The sequence below is a fragment of the Homo sapiens genome, chromosome 12 (genome assembly GCF_000001405.40).
Source record: "Homo sapiens chromosome 12, GRCh38.p14 Primary Assembly".
Taxonomy (NCBI): domain Eukaryota; kingdom Metazoa; phylum Chordata; class Mammalia; order Primates; family Hominidae; genus Homo; species Homo sapiens.
Window position 1 is genome coordinate 131,609,432 of NC_000012.12, and position 26,116 is coordinate 131,635,547.

The following is a 26,116-nucleotide window of genomic DNA, read 5'->3' on the forward strand; positions in this document are numbered from 1 at the left end:
TCTAGTGCCCCCGTCACCCAAGGGGTGTCCATTGTCCTAGCGTGTAGGTCTTTTTATCCCTAGCCCCATCCCGCCCTCCTCCTTCTGAGCCTCTAGAGCCCATTACATCACTCCGTACGCCTTCGCGTAGTCAGCCTAGCTCCCTCTGACAAGTGAGAACATGTGGTTTTGGTTTTCCACGCCTGTGTTCCTTCACTTAGAATAATGCCCCCAGCTCCGTCCGAGTTGCTGCCCATCGGCTACTGAATGGATAAAGAAAACGTGGTGTCTATACACCAAGGGGTACTACTCAGCCATTAACATGAATGCAATACTGTCTGTTCCAGCAGCTTTTTGAGGAAGGCTAGCGCACCTAGCTAATCCATCTGAAGCCTAATGCTGTGCTCTGTTGTCTCAAAAATCAGTACTTGGAGGCAGGAATGTGGCTGCCTGCAGCAAACCATGAGAGACTCTGGGGACCTCGCTGTGGGGTTTTGGTGGGAAGGCGGCCCCAAGCCATCCCTGGCTCCTTGGCAGCAATGCAGGGCATCCCAGGGAAGCGGCTGGTGACGCTGGCACCTTTGATCATGAGAGAAGGGCGGTGGGGCCATCATGGAAAGCTTTAGAGAACTCAGCTACAAAACAGGAGATGTGGGCCTTGTGTTCCCATAGCCTTAAGAGCGGCATGAAAGAAACAGCCGTGGCTTCACCTGCCCAACGGGTAGGGAACAAGGCATGAAAAGACAACATTGTAGCCCTGTTGGTGGAGGCCCTCTCTGTCTTCGTCCACGAATGTGAAGCTTCTGATGGTCAACCTCAGAAATTAATCAAGAGCCTGCAGAGCTGCAGTGGGACAGGAGTGTCCCCCGTTTTATAGCCCATGGCAACACTGGGTCCGTTGGAGCAGGTTCGTCTGAAGGAGCTGGAGAGTGGCTGCCCGCAGTGGTCCCAGATCCCACCTGTCTATGAGGAGGCCACACCCTCCAGGGCACAGTTGACTGGACCTTTGATGACCTCTGACACAAGCAGGCCTCTCCCTGGCCACCTGGCCTGGGCGCCAAGAGTCTTGTTTCGGGTTGAGCCTGCCTCGTAAGCAAGATATGAGGAATCTCGGGGCTGTGTGCTGGGTGGGGAGCACCTTCTGCCTCATGGACAGAGGGGCAGAGAAGTCAGACCAGCAGAGGAAAGATGACAAAGCCACCTGCAAGGGAGAGCGGGGGCAGCCGGCCTCCTCTTCCTGGCACCCTCTCTTTTCTTGCCTTTTCTGTCATTAAACTTTCCTGGTTTTCCTCCCATTTCTCTGGACACCCCTTGGGCCCGCTTGCCAGCTCCTCTGCCTTCTTGTTTAAACAGCATCCCTTCCCACACCGTAGCCTGCTGGATAGAGTCCTGGGTCCCTAAGATGGGACAGGATGGTGACACCTGGCAGGAAGCGGGCAATGTCCCTACACACAGTTCCAGCTCCAGAGTGGAGGCTCAGGGATTTTGCCCAGGGGAGGGTAAAAGTGAGGGCTCCAGGTCTCTTCCCAAGGAAACTAACTTCATCTGCAGCACAGTATGGGGAAGTTGAAGCCCAAGGATGCTCTCAAGAACAGCGGAGGTGTGGCGGAAGGCGCCAGTGGACAGCAGATTCCTGGAGATGTGGGCCGCACTGCAGGCTGGCTAGTTTGCAGGGTCGGGCTGTGGGCTGTTTCTTGGAACAGGAGCGGCATGTGGGCAGGGCAGAGCCTCCAAGGCACCTGCTACAGCAGCAGCAGCCTTCACAGGGCAGGCTGGAGTGCCTGTGGAATGAGGGCATGGTGCCTGCGGCTCGGGTGTGCACAGTGGAGATGGGAGGGAGATAGTGTCTGGGCCAGGAAGACGGAGACGAAGCCGTCTCCTCTATTTCACTCATTAAAAATAACTCTGGGTCTCAGTTCCTCTGCAGCCAACCAGTCTTGGTGCCTTGGGTAGTTGGGTGTTTGGGGTCTAAATGAGCCTCTGCTTTCTGCAGACCTAGCCCTGGGGCTCAGCAGAGCGGAGGCCCCACAGTTCATGCTGACTGTGCCTCACGTGGGCTGGGGCAGAGAGAAGCCAACCAGAGACCCTTCAGCCACACGGGGTGTGTGGGGTTCCATCCAGCCTGCACCCAGCTGCCCGGACACGGCTCTGACGTGGGCTGAGTCCACACGTGGTGTGTGGGGTTCCATCCAGCCTGCACCCAACTGCCCGGAAACGGCTCTGACGTGGGCTGAGTCCACTCAGGGGTCCTTTGTGCCAATCCATTGTACAGGCAGGGGTGCCTGCTCCCCCTGCCCAGCATGGCCCCACCCACCTGCACAAGAAGGCCCAGGCTCCCTGTGCCCTGGCTCTGTGCCCCCCAGGCCCTGTCCTCCCTGCAGCCATGCCACATGATCCATGGTGCACTTGTTTCCGGCTCTGTGCCCCACCAAATGGCCCACCAGCCCAGAGGAAACCCAGGGCCACGTATTCCAAATCGTGATGGGGTGAGCCTGTGGTGCTGTCGAGACCCTGGAAAAATCCCCTGGGGTGGGGTCCTGCCCTCGGTCTCCACCCCACCTGGCCGCTGACATCGTGGGGATCCTGCCCCTTCCCCACTCCGCTGTGAGCCGCCCACCCGCTCCTTCCACCTGCCTGAGTCTTGAGTCACGACACTTTGCAGAATTAAGTTACTTCGCCACTGGCTCTCCACTTGAAAGTAACCTCTCTAATTGCTCATTTGGGGACCTGACCTGACCCTCTCTTGCCTGGGGCCTGAGGCTGTGATGTTAGCAGGAATCCAGCGTCTATGTCCCCGTGTCCTGTCTACACGTGTACACACAGCCCAAGGTGTCCTTCCTGCCACAGGCGCAGTTCTCATTAGGGTCCTGCTGCAGGGCCGCTGGCTCTCCGGTTACCGCTGGGCTGGGTGGAGCTACAGCACTGGGGGAAGATTTTCTCATTTTGCACTTCGGGACCCACACTCATCCACACTGTGCTGATAACATGGAGCAGAGGGAAGGGCACAGGCCCCGTGCCCACACTCAGGGGTGTGGCACCAGTGGGGCACCTGTGCAGGCTATGGGACCCGCAGGGAGTGAGCATCTGGGGGTGGCTGCCCAGCCCGGCACTTGCTGCCATGTAGGGGGAGTGGCCAGGTCTGCCGCGTGTCCCCTGGTTCAAAGAATCCAGGGACCCCTGCCATCAGCGAGGTCTTCCGATTGTCACCAATGGACCGCCCAGTGTTTCTTCACCCACCTCTCCCCCGCCTCGGCCCCCTTCTCTGGCCTCTGCCCAGGCTGACCTGGGTGGACTGTGGCCCTCGAGGGGACCCATGTGGACCACGGCAGCCGAGGCTGCAGAGCCCTGGGTTTAAACAGAGCAGGGATGGGACGCGGCCCCCCACCCCGAGAAGCCACATTAGAATCCGTGTTGGTCAGTCCATTTGAGCCGCTGAAACAAAACCACAGAATGGGTGGCTTAGAAACAACAGAAATTTATTTTTCACCATTCTAGAGGCTGGCAGAGTCAGCATCTGATGAGGACCACTTCCTGGTTCATGGACGACGCCTTCTGACTACATTGTTGCATGGTGGAAGGGATTGGGGGCTTCCTAGGGTCCCTTTTGGAAGGGCACTAACCCCAGAAAAAGCGCTCAGTCCTCATAATCTCATCACCTCCCAGAGTTCCCACCTCCTGACACCATCACCTTGGGGGTTAGCATTTCCACAGATGCGTCTGGGGAGATACAAGCATTCAGACCATAGCTGGGTCCCTGGTGACAGCCGCCTGGGGCCTGCTGGGTTTGAACCTCAGGGACAAGCTGGGCCCTGGACCCTCTGTAACCCAGGTTCAACGGCTCACCACTCAAAAGCCAGACATGAGGGCCAAGGGGTGGTGGGAGGGAAAGCAGCTTTCATCGGAAAGCCAACAAGCCAAGAAGATGAACTGGTGTTCTAAAGCACCATCTTAAATGTTAAAATGTGCCACGGGGAGCTGGGAAACGTGACACGGGAGCCACGCGGGGTGCAGGGCCTGTGTGTCTCACCCCAGTGGCTGTCTTGGGTGGACGGAGGTCTGGATGGTGCCATGTTGACTTGGGCCCGGTGGTGGTGGACGTTGGTCATGACTTCCCCTAAGCAGCAGAGTCCACAATGGGGGCTCAGTGCCCGGTTTGTTTTGAGATCAGCCTCTGCAATTTCTTAAGCAAGAATCTAATTAGATGAGTGTGCATTGCTACAGGGGAGTGTCCGGAGAGGGAAGGAATCGGAGTGAGAGGAGAGGGAGGGAAGAAAAAGAGAGTATGTGATTTTTAAAACTGAGGTCCCTGGTGTTAAATTAAGTTTAGCCTAAAGCTGCCTCCTTACATATTTTAAGTTCAGCCTAAAGGTTTCTCTGTACATAGAGAACTGAAACCTAAGTGGATGTGTAAACAGACTACCCTACTCTCGTGCCAGCCACTGAGGTCTGCAAATGCCCAGCTGCAGCCAACCCGGCGGGCTCCGTCCCAGCCGCAGCCGACCCGGCGGGCTCCGTCCCAGCTGTAGCCGACCCGGTGGGTTCTGTCCCAGCTGCAGCCGACCCAGCGTGTTCTGTCCTCACTCCCTTTTCTGTGGTCATTTTCCTTTTTCTCTGTCCATAAATCTTCCACCATGTGGCTGCCTTGGAGCCTCTGAGCCTACTCTGGCTCTGGACATGACCCAATTCGCAACTTGTTCTTTGCTCAATTAAACTTTGTTAAATTTAATTTGTCTAAGGTTTTTCTTTTGACACTAGTTACACTTCCATGCAGAGAGGCTGCCTGTGTTACCTCCAGACCAAGTGAGAACATCACCCTCCAGCAGCAGCAGGCCTCTCATCCATGGGTGACTTGGTCTGGGAAGCCATGTGTTCACTGCTGACCTCTGTCAACCAAAAATAAAATTCTAAGGCCCCCAACCAACTAATGGACCCCCCATCTCAGCCACAGGCATTCCAAAGTAAACCTAAAACAGTGATTCAGGCCCTGATGGGAAGGGGGTTCAGACATGCTTCATGATACCCTCCTCCCTTGGCATTTCTGGCGCAACTGGCCAGCGTTAACATTAAAACAGATTTTTAAGACTGACCAAAGAGACTCTTTGTAGCAATAAGATACCAAACTCCAGGCCGGGTGCGGTGGCTCACGCCTGTAATCCCAGCACTTTGGGGGGCCGAGGCAGGCAGATCACAAGGTCAGGAGATCTCTACTAAAAATACAAAAAAATTAGCCAGGCATGGTGGCCGGTGCCTGTAATCCCAGCTACTTGGGAGGCTGAGGCAGGAGAATTGTTTGAACTCAGGAGGCAGAGCTTGTAGTGAGCCAAGATCATGCCACCCACTCCAGCCTGGGCAACAGAGTGAGACTCCGTCTCAAAAAAAAAAAAAAAAAAAAGATACCAAATTCCAACCCGAATCTAGTAAATTGTCACATGAGAGATAGCAGGCCCTGAAAGAAATCTAAGTATTTTACCCAAAAATCTGTTTATTTATTTCTGGAATGGCCCTGCACAGCTGTCTCTTGTGGGGGAAATTTGCATTCTGTAGAGAATCCCGTGCCCTTTCCAGGTCTTTTCCAGAGTCTAGCATCTTTTAAAGGTCTGAATAGGAAACATTTGCCACCTTTTTCCTCTAAGGGTGGTCATCTGAGAGACTTATCTACGTAATAAGAACCTTGGTCTCCACAGCCTCTCATCTCAACCCATACATTCCTCTCTATTGATTCCAAGTCCTTCAATAATAACCTCACTCTTTCAACCAAGTGCCAATCAGAAAATCTTTGAACCCATCTATGACCTACTATAGCCGCCCCCAACCCTGCTTCCAGTTGTCCCACCTTTCAGACTAAACCAATGTACACCTCACATGTATTAATTGATGTCTTATGTCTACCTAAAACGTATAAAACCAAGCTGCAACCCAGCCTCCTCGGGTACATGTTCTCAGGACCTCCTGAGGCTGTGTCATAGGTCATGGTCCTCACATTTGGCCCAGAATACATCTCTTCAAATATTTTAGAGTTTGGCATTTCTCATCAACACCTCTGAGCCTCCTAGAAGAAGCCGCCCCGTGCACTCCTGAGGTCTGAGCTGTTGCCTGAGCCCACAGGCAGAGCCATCTGCACCAGCAGAGAACTGCAGAGAATGCTGGAGGAATTTAAAATATGTAACCCCAAAATACATTTGCTTGACATAATTTGAAACAGCTGCCACAGGCCCCTGTAGAGAATCTCCATTAATGCAGCCAGGCCCCCTCTACTTTCTGTACCTTTCCCAGATTTGGGAGAGATTGAGAGTCTGACACTGTTAAGAGTCTGAAAAGAAACACTTCCCGTCTATCCTCTCCAAGGGAGGCTTCACCTCCATAACAAGGCTGCCTGTGCTAGCCAAGCCTCTTCCTTTCTCCCGCTGTTTCCCTGTCTTGCCACTGAGCCTGACTTTGCAGCATGACCTGTTTCTGGCAGTGCTTAGAGTCCTCAGCCTTCCTTGCTGTGCCTCAGGATGGTGTGGAAGCTTCCGTACCTCATCATTGGGTTGGATCTTCATTCTGAAGGCTCCCAGGCACACATGGTCAGTAAATAAATGTGTGTGCTTTTCTCCTCTTACTCAATCTGCCTCATGTCACTGACTTTCCAGTGAACGATTAGGGAACCAAGAGCCTGTGGTCCCACAACACCCCTTTGTCATAAGTGTGGGCTCTGCAAGCCACCCCCAGGCTTCCCCAGATGTCAGGTGAATTAAATGAAGCTCATGGCGGCCCTTACTCCCAACGCTGTCCTCAGAGAGGGCGTCTGGGGCCTGCAGACCCACTGACAGCTGAGAGGGCACGCTGTGCTCCTGGCCACCTTCTCAGCCCCCTCCAAAGCCCACCTGGCCTCACTCTTGTATGTCAGCATCTCCCTGCCTGGCAAATGAGTGAAGTCACTGATAAAACAGTTTCATTAATAATTGTCCATTTCCCAGGAGCTTTTTTTTAAATATATTTTTCCTCCCTGAAAGCCTTAAGATAAATGGCACGTCGACTGTGCCGGCTCCCGCTCCAGGGCTCTTTGTTAGGAGCGGGGCTGTTTATCAACCGCCAGTCACCCCAGCCCGGCACAGCAGGGAACAGCGGCTTCTCCCCACCATGTGCTCTGTCCAGGCTGCCCCCTTTCAGCTCAGAACGATGGAACGTGTGTTTCTGCCCCGCGTCAGTGTGGGCTCCGTTCACCAGAAACCCCCCAGGTTCACAGTAGCCGGGAAACAGACCTTGGTATAGCTCTCATGCTACTCATGGGTGCATAACTGGAGTCATAAACAACTCCTTTGTGAGGAGACACGGACCCATCCAGGGCCCTCATGGCTGCTGAACCTGCATCGGCCCAAACCAAACTCGTGATTCCTCCAAAACTTCTGTCCTTCTGCCTTCCCTCCAGAGAAGGTGGCGCCAACCTCCTCTGTGGCTCAAGCCTCCCAAACAGAAGTCACAAGGCCCCGTTCCGCTCCTGGATCCCGCCCTGTCCACCTCCCAGCCAGGAGTCATGAGGCCCGGTCCTGCTCCTGGATCCCACCCTGTCCGCCTCCCAGGACACAGGCTCCTCAGATGTGTCCTGCCCTTCTTGTTCCTCTGTTTCTCATGCCGGGCATGGCACGTGGCATGCAGTAGGTACTCAGTAAATACATTTTAGTGAAATGATGAATCCCCTAGGTTAGAAACTCGTCTAAGTTGTGAGGAGCTTTATTGGAAATCCCATAGGAAGGAGCTCGCTCTGTCCTGGGGGAAGGGGAGGTCTCCACATGGAGCCAGGCACCAGCCCCCTTGCACAGTGGCTCAAATAAACCTTCAGGGCCCTGGAGGCTCCCACTGCCAAGACCCTGGAGTGTCTTCCAGCCTCTGGCTGATGTCCTGCTCGTCCACCTGCGTACCCGGCTCCTTCCATGGAAAGCTCCCGAATGCACGGCCTGGAGTGGGCTTTCTCCTGACCAGCGAGCCACTTCCTTCGTCGGACAGAGCACCATGCGGAGTGGAGATTAGAGTGGAGGCAGGCAGGAGAGGGCTGAGGCTGCAGTGTGGTCTCTGGCTGCACCCCGGGACTGTCGGCTGAGGACCACAGCAGTCCCGCTTGCCTGAGAGCTCCGAGTATGTCCTGGGAATGGAGGCGACTGGGGCGGGAAGAGGAGAGTTTGTTTGGGAGCCTCATAGCTTTAAAGACACTGTTGACATCCTATGGTGTTGGCTACGTGGAGGAGTCGGGTCCGAGACTGTGAGGATGAGGGGGTCCAAGTGCCATGTCCTGGGAGCAGCTACCTGGGGGCTCACGGGATCCTTTGCAGGGGGCCGGGGCCTCCCCTTACTTTCTCGCCAGCACCGATGCCCTTGTTTCTGATATCAGCCCAGGGATCCCCCCGTGCCCCTGGTCTCTGAAGTTCAGGTAGGGCTCAGGCTACCCTGTGTACCCTCACACCATGGCAGGCACGTGTTCCAGGACAGGCAGTCGGAGTTACAGTGGCCAGGGCGAGGGAGCCACCCTCCAGGCACGCAGGGAGCCAGGCTTGTCCTGTGCACCCTCCCAGCTCTGGGTCCTGTCCCTCAGGGCCTCTGATTTGCTGGGCCGTTTGTGCTGCTGTGACTATTTGGTGGGCCCAAGTATGCTGGAGAAATTCTGGATGCCATCCATGACTAATAACCGGGCAGTGCACTTGCAGGATGCAGCAGCTCCTGGTGCCACGGCCGCCTCCCACACCAGCCCCTGGGGAGTGGAGAGGCCTCCGGGTGTTGCTTCTGCACGTGCTGTTCATGGACATGTGGCCTGGAAAGCAATTCAGGTTTGCTCTTGGTGAGCCTCGGAAGCTCCAGGCGGCCGCTAGAGTCTCAGACGTCGCCACCCACAGACCTCTTGGGTTTTGCCATCTTGGCATAAACAGCCTCGGTCCCGACCCCTGCCCTTTATTAAGCCCTCTTCAGTTAACCCGTCGTGTCCCTTCTGACTGCTGGGGGACTCCCTCAGATACAAGCTGTCTCCTCCACTGGAAGGTGAATGCCGTGAGCGCGGGGCCCTGGTTCAGCACCAGAGACAGCGCTGGCACCTCAAGAGACTCAGTGACATTTGCTGAATGAGTGAATGGACAAACGATGCTTCAACTGCGCAGATGCCATCCGCTCTTTCAGGAGCCTGGTCTTCCCACTTTAGCGACCATCTGAATCACGTGGGAGGCTGCAGAGACGCAAGAACCTGGGTCTCTCACACTCCATATTCTGATCCCAGGGTCTGGGCTGGGACCTAGGAATTTGCATTTTTACCTAGGCTCTCATACAGGCTTCTAATCTGATAGATAAAGTCTTCAGGAAGTCAGCCTCTGATAGACAAGTGCTATCCTCGGAAAACAGCATACACAAAGCTGAAAATAATTTCCCTTTCTGCCTCCTCCAAGGCTCAAGGCTTCTGAGAAACTGCTCGAAATTTTCTCAAAATGCATGCTCTATTTTCCACTCTCCTCCCCTCTCTGCATTCCATTCAGCCATCCCAAGAGGACCCACATGAGTCGCTGCTCCTTCGTTTCCTTATTCTGGAAACTCCTAAGACATCCTCTCTACACTGATGATTTTGCAGAGCGAAGGAGAAACAATAAACATCTTCCAGAAAGAATTTCTCAGTGACTGCAAACAAGGAGTGAGATTTGCATTCGGGGGGGCTGTTTGCCCTCAATGTGGGGAGTCGGCAGTGTCAGAACTTGGCAGTGACCCTGAAGACGTGGACAGGAGCAGATGGGATGTTTGACTTCACCTCCCTTTTGCTCCCCGATGCATTTCAGTGCAGGCCTGGTGTGCTGCACCAGCTGCGTGACAGAGGAGGAGACGAGGAGGAGGTTCTTGGGCACAGGAGGAGCGGGGCTGGGGTGAAAGCAGCCAGCCAAATGCAGGGGGTGCACTCAGCGGGGGAACCCAAAGTGTGTGGAGAAGAAAACAAAGTGCTCTCCAGGACCAGCCCTGCCCACGGCCTCCTGGCCCTCAGGGGGACTCACAGAACTGGCTCAACAGGTGCACACAGATGTGCACACACATGGGCACACAATGCATATACACATATGCATGCACACACAGAGACCCACGCACGCAGACCCAGACATACATACATGAATGCATATGTGCAGACACGTGCATGCACACAGACACACACACACACACACACGCACACAGTACTGGAATCACCACAACCAACATGCCACCTGCTTAATCCTGTTCGAAAGGACTTTCCTTGGCCTCAAGTTTTTCCACACCTGCCACACTCTGCAAACCTCCAAGAAGCCAGACCCCCCACAATTGGACAATGTCTGGTTCCTCACAGGAAGCTGCCATCACACATCTGGACAGCAGTGGGGCTCACCTTCTGGGAAAGCCTGCTCTCCTGCTGCAGGGGGAGGACTCACCAGACCCCAGAGTGGGAGTGTAGGATCGTGAATGCTGCAGAGCCCACATAGTCTGATATCCCGGCGGAGCAGGATCTGCTTCCTGGCTGGTGCAGCCACTGCCCAGCTCTCCTCTGCCCCTGCTCCACATGTGTGTCATCTGGGCTGTCTTGGAGGCAAGTGACAGAAAGGGGGCTTCACCAACGCCCTCACCTGAGCACCCTAAGAAGGGGCTGGCAGCATCAGGACAGGCCCAGGCTCAACCCTGCCCTCAGACAGAAAGCAGCTCAGCGGTTCCCCAGCTCAGACTCCGCAGCCAAACTCAATGTTCAAGACCCAGCTCTCCCACTTTCAAGCAGTGTGGCTTTGGTGGCATTGCTTAACCTTTCTGGGTCCCGCTCTCCCCGTCTGTGAAACGATCATGGTGAGGTGCCGTGGGGCTCTGATGAGGTTGCCCACGCCAGTACACACACAGCAGGACTTTGTGGATGGCTGGCACCGCCCGGGCGTCACCCTCACCCGGCCCTGGCCGTCAGCTCACCATCCTCATCTCAGGCCCCCTCCTGTGCGGCGGCAGAGACAGGGCTGCACGCGGCTTCCATGGGCCCTGGGCCCTTTTGCATTCGTGGGCTCCTTCCTCCATAAAATCACCTTTAAGCTTCTATTTTACAACTGGTACAAAGATGAATAGGTTAATATTTCTTTGACCTAAGAGCTCATATTTTCTTCTAATTTTAAAAGAAATTAAAACATTTTTGTAGCCCTGGAAATCCTCAGGGCTCTTGCACTTTGCCTGTGTCCCTGATGGGGGAAGGCGGCCTGGAAATGGCCCTCAGAGAGCTCCTCTTAACTGAGCAACTGCGAGGCAAAGCCTCCCTTCCCCAGGGGTTTCAGAAAAAGTCCCGGGCACATTCTCATTGGACCAGCTTGGGTCACATGGCCATGCCTGAGCCAATCCCAGGACCACAGTATGAAATATGCTGATTGGGAGGCGTGGCTTCCCACCTGTGAATCACGTGCACCAAGTAGGGGTGACCTGGCAGAGAAATACAGAGACAGGCAGGTGAGTCCTGGACGGACCCTAGGGACATCTGTTGTCCCCCTCAGGACCACATAGCAGAGCATGATACGGTGCCTGTCCACAGCCCAGGGACCCTTTTCAGCGGGTGGCAGAGCTGGCTATCCGGGGAGGGGGCAGAAGTTCCAGTCTGGTGCACCGAGAGCGCCATCCCCTCACTGCAGCCCCGCCCAGAGCCCCAGGGCTGAGGCCAGACTTAACCGCTGGGACCCAGGCCTGCCCTGGGGCCACCTCCCAGGCCAGGCTCTGTTCCTCACTGGGGCACTGTCCCTGGGGGAGGCGGACACAAGGGCCCTTGTTGTTCCTGGAGGAGGAGGCGGCGGGGAGAGCTGTGCAGTCACTGTGGGCTGAGCCAGCACTCTCCATCCTCCCCAGTCACTCCCAGGATGGCCAGATCCCTCCCAGGCCTGGAAACTGCTCCTCAGCCTCTCCCCGGGGCAGGGGAGAGGGGGTCAGGGCTCCCCTGGACAGGGAGGCCCAGCATGGCCATTCCCGCTCACGTGCCCACTGCACGATTAACGCGCATTGCAGCAATTTCCAGGCTGGCGCTCACGAACGGTGCCGCTAAGAGCACTTTCTGGTGAACACACATGCCCCTGTCTGTGGTGCAGACACCCCGGAGTGGAACTGCTGGGTCGGGGTAAGTGGATCTTCAGCTCTGGGCGACGCTGCCGGGCTGCTTCCCAAGTTCCAGATCCACCACACCCCCAGGGGGTTCCAGCCTGCAGCGGGGGCTGAGACCCACAGCTCTGCTGTGTACATGAGAACACACACAGGCACATGCACACCTACGCGCATGTACACACATGCACTCACACGCACACGTTTCCTGAATTCACACACATGATATGTGGGCTGAGGCTGTGTACACACACATGCACATGGGCACACACAGGCACGCACCAAGTGTACACTCACATTTCCTAAGACCACACACGATACGTGGCCCAGGACTGCGTACAGCTGGCATGTCTGCTTGCCTGGGCAAGAGCCACAGCCTCCTCCTGGCTCTCCTGCTGCCGCAGCTCCTGCACTCCACGGAGCCTCGCCTGGCCACACTCCCTGCACGGGGCAGCTCAGGAGCCTCGGCCTCTGGCAGGAGAGGCTGCAGGGTAGGGGCTGGCGGGTGGCTGGGGTCCCTGTAGTCCGGCTTTTTTCCCTCCTCACACACTGCTCTCTGCTCTCCGCTTGCCTGGCCCCGAGGCAAAGGGCCCAGGGGTCGCTGGTGAGGAGGGGCTGCAGCTGGGCTGTCCTGGGGGAGGGAAGGAGATTATAAAAGGCCCTCAGAGAGCTACACAAGGTGGCCTTGTTTGGGGAACAGCCTCCCCCAGCCCAGGGTTCCCTCCCACGTGAGCAGGAAGGGGTGGCCCAGGACCTGTGGTCAGGAGGCCTGCCCTGTGTGGCTGGGGTGGGGGTCACTGCGGGGCTATTTCTAGCTCCAGCCTCTGCCCCGCAACAGGGGGTATTGGGCGAAGCTGTTTGCAGTCTGAGGCATCCGGCCCCCTGGCCCTCCCTGCAGCTGTGACCTCACCAAAAACAGAGGCCACACTTCTCAGGGTAGGAGGGGCCAGAAGGCCCAGCTGTTAGGGTAGACAGCTGAGGCCCCAGCTCCCTGGGGGACCCGGGGCAGAATGACCTTCCTCTACAAGCTTCTGTGGCTCCCCATTGATATGCAGGGGAGTCCATGCCTCTCCTCACCCGGGGTTCACTGCTATCACTGCCACCGTCAGTCCTACCCCTCTACCCCCCACCCCCGCCACCTTGCCCTCCCTCTCTGGGCTGTGGCCTCGCCCACCTCCCTCTGTGTCCTGGTGGAGACCAGCACCCTCCCGGGGCAGGGCAGGAGGGCCGCCCTCTGTACCTCAGTGCCCAGAGTAGGACCCGACAGGGCCCTCACCCAGCAAAGACGGGCACAGTGAGTGCACAGGGTGAGGACGATGGCACCTACCCTCGGGCACGCTGTAAGCAGCCATGCCTTTGAGCCTGGAAAGTGCTGACCACAGTTCCCAGGTGGTCAGGATGCAGTGGAGCTGACGGCCCTGGGGAGTCAGCTCAGCCCAGCCCAGACAGCGACAGGCTCTGCCCTGAGGCCCGAGTTCAAATCCCCTCCAGGCTCCAGCTGGGGAGGGCAGCCCACTCAGCCTCCCTGGACCTCAGGGTCCTCGTCTGTGAAATGGGAGTGAAAGTCACGGCGGGCGAGCCCGGGAGGGCTGCTGTGAGGATGAATGAGGGACCAGCTCCTGGCACGATGCACACCCCGTCCAGCCAGCACCGTCGCAGGGGGTCAGCAACAAGGATGATTCCTCTTCCTCCCACCAAGGCGCAGAGGGCCTCTGAGTCACAAAGGAAAGGAACAGAGAAGACAGGCTGTGCTCTCGGTGACAAAGAGTCAGCTCTAAAGCCCAAATCCGCATTTACAGATGAGAAAACAACCACCACGGGCTGCAGGTGCTGATCCTCAAGCCTGTGATGGGCCAAGAAGCCCAGGGACTCTGCAGGGAAACGCAGGGCCCATGGCCCTGGCCTTGGCATTGAACCACGCACTTTTGCCCAGGTGGGTTAACACCCAGGGAGGCAGAGGGTTAGGACAGAGGGTCCCGGCACTCACTCCCGGGGCCTCGGGAGGTGACGGGGGCATCACCCCACTCTACTCCCTGTGTCCCTCCTGGGTCTGGGCTGAGGACCCCGGGATGTCCATGGGGCTCAGACCCCAGCACGGTGGCCAGGAGCTGACTGACCAGCAGCAGGGCCAGCAGCAGTGCCAGCAGCAGTGCCAGATCAGATGGCAGGACTGATCTCATGTGTCAACAGCAGCACCCCAAAGACTCCAGAGACATTTTTGGGGGTGAGGCCCCCATTGGGGAGCAGGGTCCCAACATCACACAGGAGGTGAATTCAGCACCATGTCACTGTCCTCAGGGTGGCCACAGGCGGCTGCACTGGGTGGGAGAGTGTCCACAACCACCCTCTTCTGCACAGGCCACAGGGGGCGCTCAGGAGTCAGGACTCTGGGGGTGAGAGAAGCCCCAGACCAGCCCAGGCACCAGAGGAAATGCATTGAAATCCTCAGGCCGGGACAGCTTCAGGCACAGCGTGATCCTGCAGCTCAGGCATGACCTCAGGGCTCTGATTTCCTGTGTCCAGGGCCCTCCCAGGCCAGCATCTCCTTGGGGCTAAGTCCACTGAAGCCGACTGACTTCTCCAAGCAGGTCCAGCCAAGTGCCCACTCCTGAACCCATCGCCCAGGCCATGAGAATGGAATGCTCTCCTCTCACAGGTCTGGGTCACAGCCAAGTGCCCACCCCGGAACCCATTGCCCAGGCCATGAGAATGGAATGTTCTCCTCTCACAGGTCTGGGTCACAGGAGCACACCTGACCTGGGGGTGGAGTCAGCCCCACCCAGACCAGACCATGTGGACAGAGCGAGGGAGCAGGGGACTCCCAGATAAGCCAGGGGTGTGGCCTGCAGCAGAGACATCCCCTCAGCTGTCCCCTCCAGGACTCCCAGGCTGCTGTCACCCAGGGCTCATAAAAGCCTCTGGCAGATGGGAGGCCCTGCCCAGCACCCATGATGCCCACTGAGCTTCTCCTGGCAGCCGGCCAGGTTCCACAGGGAGGGTAGTGCCAGGAAGCCCAGTGCACAGAGGGGCTCATAGATGCCCATGGGAAGACAGCTGGGTGTGCCTTGCTCTCACAGGATGTGGACATGTCCCCTGTGTCCCAGGCTGTGGGCCCATTTGTGTCACTCATCACCCTGGCCTCATTTTCTGAGTGACTGTGCTTCTCCCTAGGAGCCCCGAGAAGAGACAGCCAGCGGGTGCTGCTAGTTAATGAGGCTCAGCTGGAATCAGCTGTTTCAAACTTAAAAGGCTGTTAATGGGATTTCTAATTCCAGAGGTGGAAAGAGTTAAATTGTATTGCCAACGACTCTTGCAATCCAAGATGTTTTCTGATTCTGTGTTTTGTTCTGGTAATTAATTGGATGGAAGTTGTCCAACTTCGTGGAGAGACCAGAGCTATTTCAGGTTTCACTGAGTCTCTGGAAGATTAAGTTACTTTGTTTCCCCCAGGAACTCCCAGAACCGGCCACATCGGTGCCATTTCAAAGACAAAGGGCTGAGCAGCTTTCACAGCGTGTGTCCATTGTTTTCTAACTCCAGAACCCTGGAAAAGCAGCAGGCTGTGTCTGCTCAGAGCAGAGCTCTGGGCTCGCCTGGCCGGGACCCAGGACTCCAGGACCCAGGAGCCCCGCTGAGGTGCTGGCTGGGGCCTCGGGCAGGTCCACGCCTTGGTTTTCTCATCTGGAGAAAGGGGCTGAGGACAGCACCTGCTGTCTAGGGTCTCTGTCGGCTTCAGGAGAGAGTGCAGCAGGTGTTTGGCCCCAGGCCTGGCACATCCTAAGCCTCACAAATGTCCAGGAAATGACTCTATGGGTGTGTAATGCCCAACCTTGTTTTTACTAACCCTGTTCTTAGACTCTCCCTTGGCTAAGAGAGCCAGACAGACTCCATCTTGGCTCTTTCACTGGCAGTCCCTTCCTCAAGGACTTAACTTGTGCAAGCTGACTCCCAGCACATCCAAGAATGCAATTAACTGATAAGATACTGTGGCGAGCAATATCCACAGTTCCCAGGAATTCACCCGATTGATAACGCCCAAAGCCCCGCGTCTATCACCTTGTAATAGTCTTAAAGCCCCTGCACCTGGAACTGTTTACTTTCCTGTAACCATTTATCCATTTAACTTTTTTGCCTACTTTATTTCTGTAAAATTGTTTTAGCTAGACCCCCTTCCACTTTCTAAACCAAAGTATAAAAGAAAATCTAGCCCCTTCTTCGGGGCCAAGAGAACTTTGAGCGTTAGCCGTCTCTTGACCACCGGCTAAATAAACGGACTCTTAATTCGTCTCAAAGTGTGGCGTTTTCTCTAAGGTACAACAGGTGAATAGCCACTCCTCTGTTACGCAGCTTGCGATGTCTTCCCACTGTCCTGAAAGTCCCAAACCTTTAACACGCTGTGGAAAAGTCCCCAGAAGGTAGGCTAAGGACGTGTTTAGGGGACCGAAAGTGGAAGAAGTTTTTAAAATAGGGAGAGAATTTGTGTTTGGGCTTTCTAAAGAGTGTGGTGCTCAGGGAAGATTCGAACTCCATTGGGCTCCTGTACCTTCCTTGGGGAGGTAGAATCGTCTTTGGTTTCAGTAACACAGGGGCCCCCACAGCCTTGGCCGACTCAGCCCTGGCAGCCTGGATCTGTCCAGACCTGCGGGAGCGGCCCCACCCCCCACATCTGCTGTCCTTCATCCTCCCGAGACCCTGGGTCTGGGCTAGGACAGGATCCCACCCACCACAAGCTCCTCCGTAATCAGCCGCCCCCCAACTTCACCCACGGCCCCCTTAACTGCTGCTCCTGTCTTGCGGGATTTGCCACCTGTGCTTGGAGGCACCCCCACCACCTCCATGCTGGTGGGCTTTAAACCATTTCCACGAACTCGCCACCCCCTCACTCTTATCTCCTCACTTGTTCACATCAAGTACTTTCATTTAAAATATAAGGACATGGTTGCAGAAATGTAATTCCCCATGTATTATGAACATTGATATTTTAGAAACTGCCCCATCCTCAGTGTCTCCAGTAACGCCGAGACCACAGCCACTCCCCTCTCCCCATCCACCCGAGACCACAGCCACTCCCCTCTCACCATCCGCCCGAGACCACAGCCACTCTCTTCTCCCCATCCACCCGAGACCACAGCCACTCCCCTCTCCCCATCCACCCGAGACCACAGCCACTCCCCTCTCCCCATCCACCCGAGACCACAGCCACTCCCCTCTCCCCATCCACCCGAGACCACAGCCACTCCCCTCTCCCCATCCACCCGAGACCACAGCCACTCCCCTCTCCCCATCCACCCGAGACCACAGCCACTCCCCTCTCCCCATCCACCCGAGACCACAGCCACTCCCCTCTCCCCATCCACCCGAGACCACAGCCACTCCCCTCTCCCCATCCGCCCGAGACCACAGCCACTCCCCTCTCCCCATCCGCCCGAGACCACAGCCACTCCCTTCTCCCCATCCACCCGAGACCACAGCCACTCCCTTCTCCCCATCCACCCGAGACCACAGCCACTCCCCTCTCCCCATCCACCCGAGACCACAGCCACTCCCCTCTCCCCATCCGCCCGAGACCACAGCCACTCCCCTCTCCCCATCCGCCCGAGACCACAGCCACTCCCCTCTCCCCATCCACCAGAGACCACAGCCACTCCCCTCTCACCATCCGCCCGAGACCACAGCCACTCCCCTCTCACCATCCGCCCGAGACCACAGCCACTCCCCTCTCACCATCCGCCCGAGACCACAGCCACTCCCCTCTCACCATCCACCAGAGACCACAGCCACTCTCTTCTCCCCATCCGCCCGAGACCACAGCCACTCCCCTCTCCCCATCCGCCCGAGACCACAGCCACTCCCTTCTCACCATCCACCCAAGACCACAGCCACTCCCCTCTCCCCATCCACCCGAGACCACAGCCACTCTCTTCTCCCCATCCGCCCTAGACCACAGCCACTCCCCTCTCCCCATCCGCCCGAGACCACAGCCACTCCCCTCTCCCCATCCGCCCGAGACCACAGCCACTCCCCTCTCCCCATCCGCCCGAGACCACAGCCACTCCCTTCTCCCCATCCACCCGAGACCACAGCCACTCCCCTCTCCCCATCCACCCGAGACCACAGCCACTCCCTTCTCCCCATCCACCCGAGACCACAGCCACTCCCCTCTCCCCATCCACCCGAGACCACAGCCACTCCCCTCTCCCCATCCACCCGAGACCACAGCCACTCCCCTCTCACCATCCACCCGAGACCACAGCCACTCCCCTCTCACCATCCACCCGAGACCACAGCCACTCCCCTCACCCCATCCACCCGAGACCACAGCCACTCCCTTCTCCCCATCCACACTTAAATGTACAGAGGGAAAACCACAGCATCCTTTCTACTCCAATTCACAGTTCACTGCATCCCGTTTCTCCATGGAGTGAGTACTCAATGCTTGGAAGTATTTACTAATTGCCAGATTACATTCCCCACAACAAAAAACGTGTTTGAAATTTAAATAGCAACGTAATTCTTGTGTCTAAAGAGCTCCAAGTGTTAAAATACTTTTCTGGATCCAGTTATGGTCCCATTTTTAGTAACAGGCAATTCTTCCAAACAACATGAGGAATCAAATATTTATATTATGTCATGTGTACATTTCCATCGCATATACATGCTTACATCTATATAAATATACGGCATAAATCGATTTACATAATGCATGTGTAAATATTGACATATGGGATATGTAATATGGTGTGTGTTATTTATTTATGTGATTAATATATTCAAATTTTTAGAGTTATTTTAAAGGAAAGTACACCTTGTGGAAATGGATTGGGAAATTTCAGGAGTCTCATTTGGAGGGCGCCCTGCGGTCTCTGCGCCCCCTCCCAGGACGTGCCTCTGGGGGATTCGGGATGGGGGGGGTTGTCCTTCCTGGGAAAAACAGGAGCTGGGAAGTCATAACAGGGAAGGGAGACCAGGGAGCTGACTGCAGGCTCCTTTCAGGCAGGTATTTTTAGGACTTTAGGCGGCCATGCTGATGCCCTGGGTGGTCCCTGAGGGAGCGCCCGCCTCGGGGTCCCGCAGACTCAGGGGCCCTGCCTGGGCCCTGCCTGGGATTTTCCTGCCAAGTCCATGGTCTCCTTGGGCTCCCTCCGCAACTGTGCCCCCGTTTCCTGTGCTCATCCCACACCCAGCCTGGCCCCGAACACCGTGGGGCTTTTGTTCGGGGCCCCGCACACCGGACCTCAGGATTCCATCCTCCCAGAACCATGGCCACAGAATAAGGTCCGCCAAGATGGATACCGAACGCGCCTCAAACACCTGGGGGGCGGACGTGTGAGGAGCTGGCCTCTCTCCACCCCCAGCCGCCCTTCAGCCCGGCCTCCCTCTATCCTGGACGCCTCAGCCCCTCCTCACTCTGCACCTGCTGGTCCTCAGCCCTTGGGCCCTCCCATTCCTGTGCCCTCCCAACTCCACACCAGCGGGGTGGGGCTGAGGGCTGCAGGACCACTCTACCCCCAACCTCATGCTGTGACAGGCTGAGGGGGAGCCGGGTGCCCTTTGGCCGTGCCCCATTTGTGGTCAGAGACCCCACGTCCTCCGTGGCTGGGCACATGGGCTCTGTGGGGCATCTGAGTCCATTGAATTTGAACACCAGGTCCCAGGACTTAGAACTCAAGGACAGCCCTGCCCTGTGCGATGCTGAGAGGTGCCTGGGGCATCGCAGAAACAGCTTCCCTGAAGGCTAGACTCAACAAGGCCTCCTAGGGTGACCTGCTGATCCCGGGACCCTGCTCCCTGGGAAGCCCCCCAGTGTGGCCCCTGCCCCTCTGCTGACACCCCTTGATCTCCACCCTGGCCTTGGCCCTGGCCCTGGCCCTGCCTTGTCGACAGCTCCTGGGTCATCTCAAAGGACCTCAGCCTCTTCGAGTCCCAGCTGTACTCATGACCCTCCTGGAATGCTTTACTTTTCCAGTATCCTGCCTGCAGCCTCCCAACGCTGACACTAGAAACCTGGGACGTGCTGGACGCCCGTCTCCTCTCCCCATCCAACAGTCACCGAGCCGCAGATCCTGTGTCCTGAAGGCACCTGACACCATCCTCGTTGCCCCGTCTTCACAGCTCCACCTCCTTCCTGCAAGGCTTCCAGACCCACCCTCCCTCTGCCCCCTTCTCTAGCGCTCAGTCAGGGGCCTGTGCCGACCCATTCTGTGCGGCCACCTCTGTGTGCAGCCCTCACACGGCTTCTCCCCGCATTTAGAGACCCCATGAGCTCTATCATAAACCCCAGGGCCCTGCCACACCCCGACTCATGGGGCCTCCCTGCTCACCTCCTCTCTGTTCTCCCCACGCCACGCTCCTGCCAGGCCCAGGGACTGGGCACCTGCAGCTCACCGGGTCTGGAAGCTTCCTGAGCCGGCTCCTCCGCTCTCCCCAGGTTTCTCCACACATCACTTCCTCAGAGGAGTCTCCTGAGGTCAGCCTAGGATGGGTGTCCTGTACCGACTGAGGAACTTATCAGAATGGGGGCCTTGAAGTTAATTCTTATATCATATGGAAAGAGCCACAAACACGCAAGGACATGCCCACACGTGTGTTTGTGGCTGTGCTGTGTATGGTGGCTGAGAACTGGGAATAGTGACCCAGATGTCACCCGTGGGAGGGCAGCCGAGACACGGTGGTCCCTGGGCACTGTGGGATTTCTGCAGCTGCCGCGCAGGGTGAGTAGAATTCCCGGCCCTGGGAGCCTGTGCCGGACACACAAGGGGTGCAAAGAGAAGTGAAGACGTCAACTACAGTCCAGATGCTCCTCGACTTACAGTGGGGCAGGGCTGCAATGAGAAGTGAAGACGTCAACTACAATCCAGATGCTTCTCGGCTTACAGTGGGGCTGTGTCACGAGGACGCCTCCTAAATTGAAAATGTCCTAAGTCAAAATGCATCAATGCACCAAACCTATGGAACAGCATAGCTTTGCCTGGCCTACCTTAAACATGCTCAGAACATGACGTTAGCCCACTGTTGGGCAAAATCATCTCACAGAAAGCGTATTTGATAATACAGTGTTGAGCATCTCCTGTAATTTATTGAACACTGCACTGTAAGTGAAAGAATGGCTGTATAGATAATCAAAGTAGGGTTCCTACTGAAAGCAGATCATTTTCACATCATCATAAAGTCAAAAACTCCTGTGTTGACCCATCGGACCATCTGTTTGTATTTATGATAATGGTACAAACTTGTTACAAAGTAAATGGTCCTGTGGACAAATATCACAAAATAATATGGACAAATGAAATTGCAGATCTGAGGCCAGGTGCGATGGCTCACGCCTGTAATCCCAGCACTTTGGGAGGCCGAGGCGGGTGGCTCACTTGAGGTCAGGAGCTCGAGACCAGCCTGGCCAACATGGTGAAACCTCGTTTCTACTTAAAGTACAAAAATTAGCCAGGTGTGGTGGCGCACGCCTGTAATCCCAGCTACTTGGGAGCCTGGGGCAGGAGAATTGCTTGAACCTGGAAGGCAGAGGTTGCAGCAAGCCAAGATAACAACACTGCACTCCAGCCTGGGTGACAGAGCGAGACTCTGTCTCAAGGAAAAAAAGAAGAAGAAGAAGAAATTACATATCTGCTCAGACTACGGGAATTTTTTAAATTTTAGGTGTGTGTTATTATTGCAATATGGTTTTCTCCATGAGGAATTGATTTTTTTTAAGTAAAAGGAAGGGTATGTGGCTACTCTGTTTCCCTGACTCAGAGCTAAGTCCAGGAATTCAGGGACCTTGTTTTTCTTCCTAATGGCTCTATCCCCAGCTTCAGCATGCAGTCTGGCCCACAGCATGTGCTCAGTGAACTAGATGAAAGAATGGGTAGGTGGGTGGATGTGTGGAAGGATGGATGAATGGATGGGGGACAAGGGGTGGATGGGTGGAAGGATGGAACAATGGATGAATGCGTAGGTGGGTGGAAGGATGGATGAACGGATGGATGAGTGGAAGGATGGAAGAATGGATTAATAGGTGGATGGGTGGAAGGATGGATGGATGAATGGATGGATGGATGGATGGATGGATGGATGGATGGAAAGATGGATGGATGGATGGATGGATGGATGGATGGATGGATGGATGAAAGACGGCTGTATAGCAACCTGGGTATATGTTCAGATAAATGAATGGGGAGATGGATGGATGGATGAAAGAGAGAAGAATGGATAGTACCCTTGGCATATGTTCAGATAAGTGGATGAACAGATGGACAGATGGATGGATGGATGGATGGAAGGATGGATGGATGGATGGATGGATGGATTAAAGAAGGCTGTATAGCAACCTGGGTATATGTTCAGATAAATGAATGGGGAGATGGATGGATGGATGAAAGAGAGAAGAATGGATAGTACCCTTGGCATATGTTCAGATAAGTGGATGAACAGATGGACAGATGGATGGATGGATGGATGGATGGATGCATGGAAGAAAGAAGAATGGATAGTAAGCTGGGTATATGTTCAGATAAGTGGATGGACAGACAGATGAACAGCCCCATCACCCACACATCCCTCCACACTTCCTCTTGTACTCACCCCTCCCCTCCACCCTAACACTTGTAAACCACAGGCCTCTTCTCTGACATCCAGAGCGTCCCATAAATGGGCTCACGCAGTGGGAGCCTTCTGGGTGGGCTCCCGGCCCTCAGCGCGGGTCATGGAGAGTCGCCCGGGCGGCTGTGCGCACCCACGGCCTGCCCTGCCCGTCTCCCTGCTGAGCGGCGTCCACTGCACCTATGCATGGCGGCTCGTTCTGTGCTCACTGATGGGGGTGTTTGCGTTGTTTCCGGTTTTTGCAATTACAAATAAAGCCACTAGGAACTTTAACCTACATTTTTTTGTGTGGAGGTAGGTTTTCACTCCACGTGAGTGGGTCCCTGGGGTGGGGCTGCGGACTCACATGCTGAGTGTGTGGAGTGTTTAGCTGGAGCAGCAGCCACCCTGTTTCCATAATGAAGTGGCTGCACCGTCCACTGTGAGCGCAGCTTGCTCGGCAGCCTCAGCAGCACCTGCTGTCATTTCCTTCTTTCTTTGCTTTCCTTTTTTTGTTAATTTTCGCATCCCAATAGGTGTGTGCTGTGACCTCATCATGACTTTAATTTGCATTTTCTTAATAATTCTCGACATTGTCCATTGTTTTATGGGCTTATCTGTCACTCGTATATTTTATTTGGGAAAATGTCTGTGTACATTTTTCCTCATTTAAAAAATATTGTGTCCTTTGCTTTGTTACGGTTGAGCTTTCAGAGTTATTTACATATTCCAGATACAGGACTTTGGTCAGATATATGAATTGCAAATATTCCTTGCCAGCCGGTGGCTGGTCTGATCATTCTCTAAACTCTGTCTTCTGCAGAGCAAAAGGGTTTAATTTTGATGAAGTCAAGTTTATAGATTTTTTTTTTAAGAATTGTGCTTTTGTCATTGCCTAACCCAAAGTCACAAAGCTTTCTCCAATGTTGCTTCTAAAATGTTTATAATTTTACGTTTTACACGTAGGTCCCCGATACATGCTGAGGTAGTTTTTGTGTGAGGCGGGAGGTGTAGGTGGAGCTCACTGTTTTGCTTGCGGACCTGCAATGGCTACAGCCTCATCTGTTGAAAACATGATCCTTTCCTGATGTGTTGTCTTTGTGGATAGATGCGTTGAAAATTTTAGTGAGTAATATAAAAGCCTTCTCCAGCCAACACACATTTATTCCTCCATGAATGAATGCACTGCGGGTGGATGGGGCTTTGTCTCCCTGGCGCTCAGTGCACGGGTGGGGATGGGTTCTGTCTGTGGGGGGAGGTGTGGGCCTCTGTGGGGGAGGCAGAAGGTGCCTGGGAAAGCGGTCACCAATCAGCCCCACATAGTTACCCCTGGGGTCTGTGCTGATTCCCACGCCCACCTGCATCTCTGGGGGTGGTCTCCAGGCATAGTTACCCCTGGGGTCTGTGCTGACTCCCACACCCACCTGCATCTCTTGGGGGGGTCTCCAGGCATAGTTACCCCTGGGGTCTGTGCTGACTCCCACGCCCACCTGCATCTCTGGGGTGATCTCCAGGCATAGTTACCCCTGGGGTCTGTGCTGACTCCCACGCCCACCTGCATCTCTGGGGGGGGTCTCCAGGCATAGTTACCCCTGGGGTCTGTGCTGACTCCCACACCCACCTGCATCTCTTGGTGGGGGGGTCTCCAGGCACAAGATTGTCTCAGGCTCCTTGGGTTCCAGAGCGCACCAGGACTGAGAGCCCCTGCTCCCGGGGCAATGCTGCTGACACGGCTGCTGGTCAGGCCGCTGGCCGGCCAAGGTCAGGGTCCAGGGGCCTCTGAGTTGGAGGAGGGGGCTCCTTTTCCCAGGCAGCCCCGCTCTCCCAGCCAGGGCCCAGGAAGCCAAGGCTGCTCTCCGCTCACTTCTGCTCCAGCTGCTGGCTCGGTGGGCCTGGGTCCTGCCACTGCTCCCCAGGGAGCTGTAATTAGGATTCCCATGCAAGGAGTTGATGGAAATGGCATTTCACAACACTAATGAACTTCTGCTTTCTTTCCAGAGCCATTTAGCCTATTTAAAATGCAAATTGAAGTCAATAGAAAGTGGTTTGTCTGAGTTCCATCCAGGGATGTGGTTGGTTTGTGTTGGAGGAAAGATGGGCTGTGGTTCCCCTGGGGGGGAAGACAGGGATGATTAGACCTATCTGTACCCAGGGCCGGCTCAGCGTTGCCCTCTGCATGGGAGGGGCTCCCTGGGTCAGGACCTGCACAGGGATGGGGAGGGGAGTGAACTGAGGATCATGTCCCACCAGAGCCCATGAGGCCCGAGTCCTCCGGGTTCTTGAGTGGAGTTGTTTTTATCCCAATTATCCACGTAACTGCCCAAATTCCTACCCCATGGCCTGTGTAGGTTCAAGTCACCACCCACAAGTGGGCTGCCTCGGGCATCCATACCGCTGGCCAGGTTGGCTGACCTCCTGCTGACTCAGATTTTGACCCCCTCATTCCCTGAGTGTCTGAATTGATTAGGGAAAGTGGTGGAAACAGGAAGTTTGGGCTGCTGGGAACAGAAGGTGAGGAGTAACGCACCACCTGCTTGTCTCCTGGGAACGTGATGACCCTAAGATTTAAGTCAAACATGTGCTCTCAAAGTTGTCATTTGTGTGTATGGCCACCTACCTTCTCACTAACCCATCCACCATCCATCCATCTGTTCATCTGTCTGTCCATCCACTTATCTGAACATATACCCAGCTTACTATCCATTCTTCTCTCTTCCATGCATCCATCCATCCATCCATCCATCTGTCCATCTGTTCATCCACTTATCTGAACATATGCCAAGGGTACTATCCATTCTTCTCTCTTCCTTCCATCCATCCATCCATCCATCTCTGCATTCACTTATCTGAACATATACCCAGGTTGCTATACATCCTTCTTTCTTCCATCCATGCATCCTTCCATCTGTCCATCCATCCATCCATCTGTCCATCCACTTATCTGAACATATACCCAGGTTGCTATGTATCTTTCTCTCTCTTCCATCCATCCATCCATCCATCCATCCATCCACCCATCCATCTCCCCATTCACTTATCTGAACATATACTCAGGTTACTATACATCCTTCTTCCTTCCATCCATCCATCCATCCATCCATCCATCCATCCATCTGCCCATCCATTTATCTGAACATATACCCAGCTTACTATCCATTCGTCTCCCTTCCATTCATCCATCCATCCATCCATCTCCCCATTCACTTATCTGAACATATACTCAGGTTACTATACATCCTTCTTCCTTCCATCCATCCATCCATCCTTCCATCTGTCCATCCATCATCCATCTACCTTCTCATCCATTTGTACACCCATCCCCCCCGTTTTAACCAATCATCTGGATTTTAACCAATTATACCATTTGTCCTGCAATTATCCAGTCATCCATTGCACACCCATCCCCGTTTTCACCAATTCTCCATTTTTCTGTCTGCCCATTTGCTCCTCTGTTTCTTAATGACCCCGTCATCCATCTCTGGTT

At 55.2% G+C, this 26,116-nt stretch overlaps 4 annotated features.

Moving 5' to 3' along the window:
* Nucleotides 8,154–8,654: an enhancer, noted in NCBI's record as "H3K4me1 hESC enhancer chr12:132102130-132102630 (GRCh37/hg19 assembly coordinates)". NCBI's record gives its function as "activates a minimal SCP1, AML or CMV promoter by ChIP-STARR-seq in primed H9 embryonic stem cells {active_cell/tissue: H9 hESC(primed)}" and the evidence as "EXISTENCE:reporter gene assay evidence [ECO:0000049][PMID:30033119]".
* Nucleotides 8,655–9,155: an enhancer, noted in NCBI's record as "H3K4me1 hESC enhancer chr12:132102631-132103131 (GRCh37/hg19 assembly coordinates)". NCBI's record gives its function as "activates a minimal SCP1, AML or CMV promoter by ChIP-STARR-seq in naive H9 embryonic stem cells {active_cell/tissue: H9 hESC(naive)}" and the evidence as "EXISTENCE:reporter gene assay evidence [ECO:0000049][PMID:30033119]".
* Nucleotides 13,937–14,692: an enhancer, noted in NCBI's record as "H3K4me1 hESC enhancer chr12:132107913-132108668 (GRCh37/hg19 assembly coordinates)". NCBI's record gives its function as "activates a minimal SCP1, AML or CMV promoter by ChIP-STARR-seq in naive H9 embryonic stem cells {active_cell/tissue: H9 hESC(naive)}" and the evidence as "EXISTENCE:reporter gene assay evidence [ECO:0000049][PMID:30033119]".
* Nucleotides 15,449–16,204: an enhancer, noted in NCBI's record as "OCT4-NANOG-H3K4me1 hESC enhancer chr12:132109425-132110180 (GRCh37/hg19 assembly coordinates)". NCBI's record gives its function as "activates a minimal SCP1, AML or CMV promoter by ChIP-STARR-seq in naive and primed H9 embryonic stem cells {active_cell/tissue: H9 hESC(naive and primed)}" and the evidence as "EXISTENCE:reporter gene assay evidence [ECO:0000049][PMID:30033119]".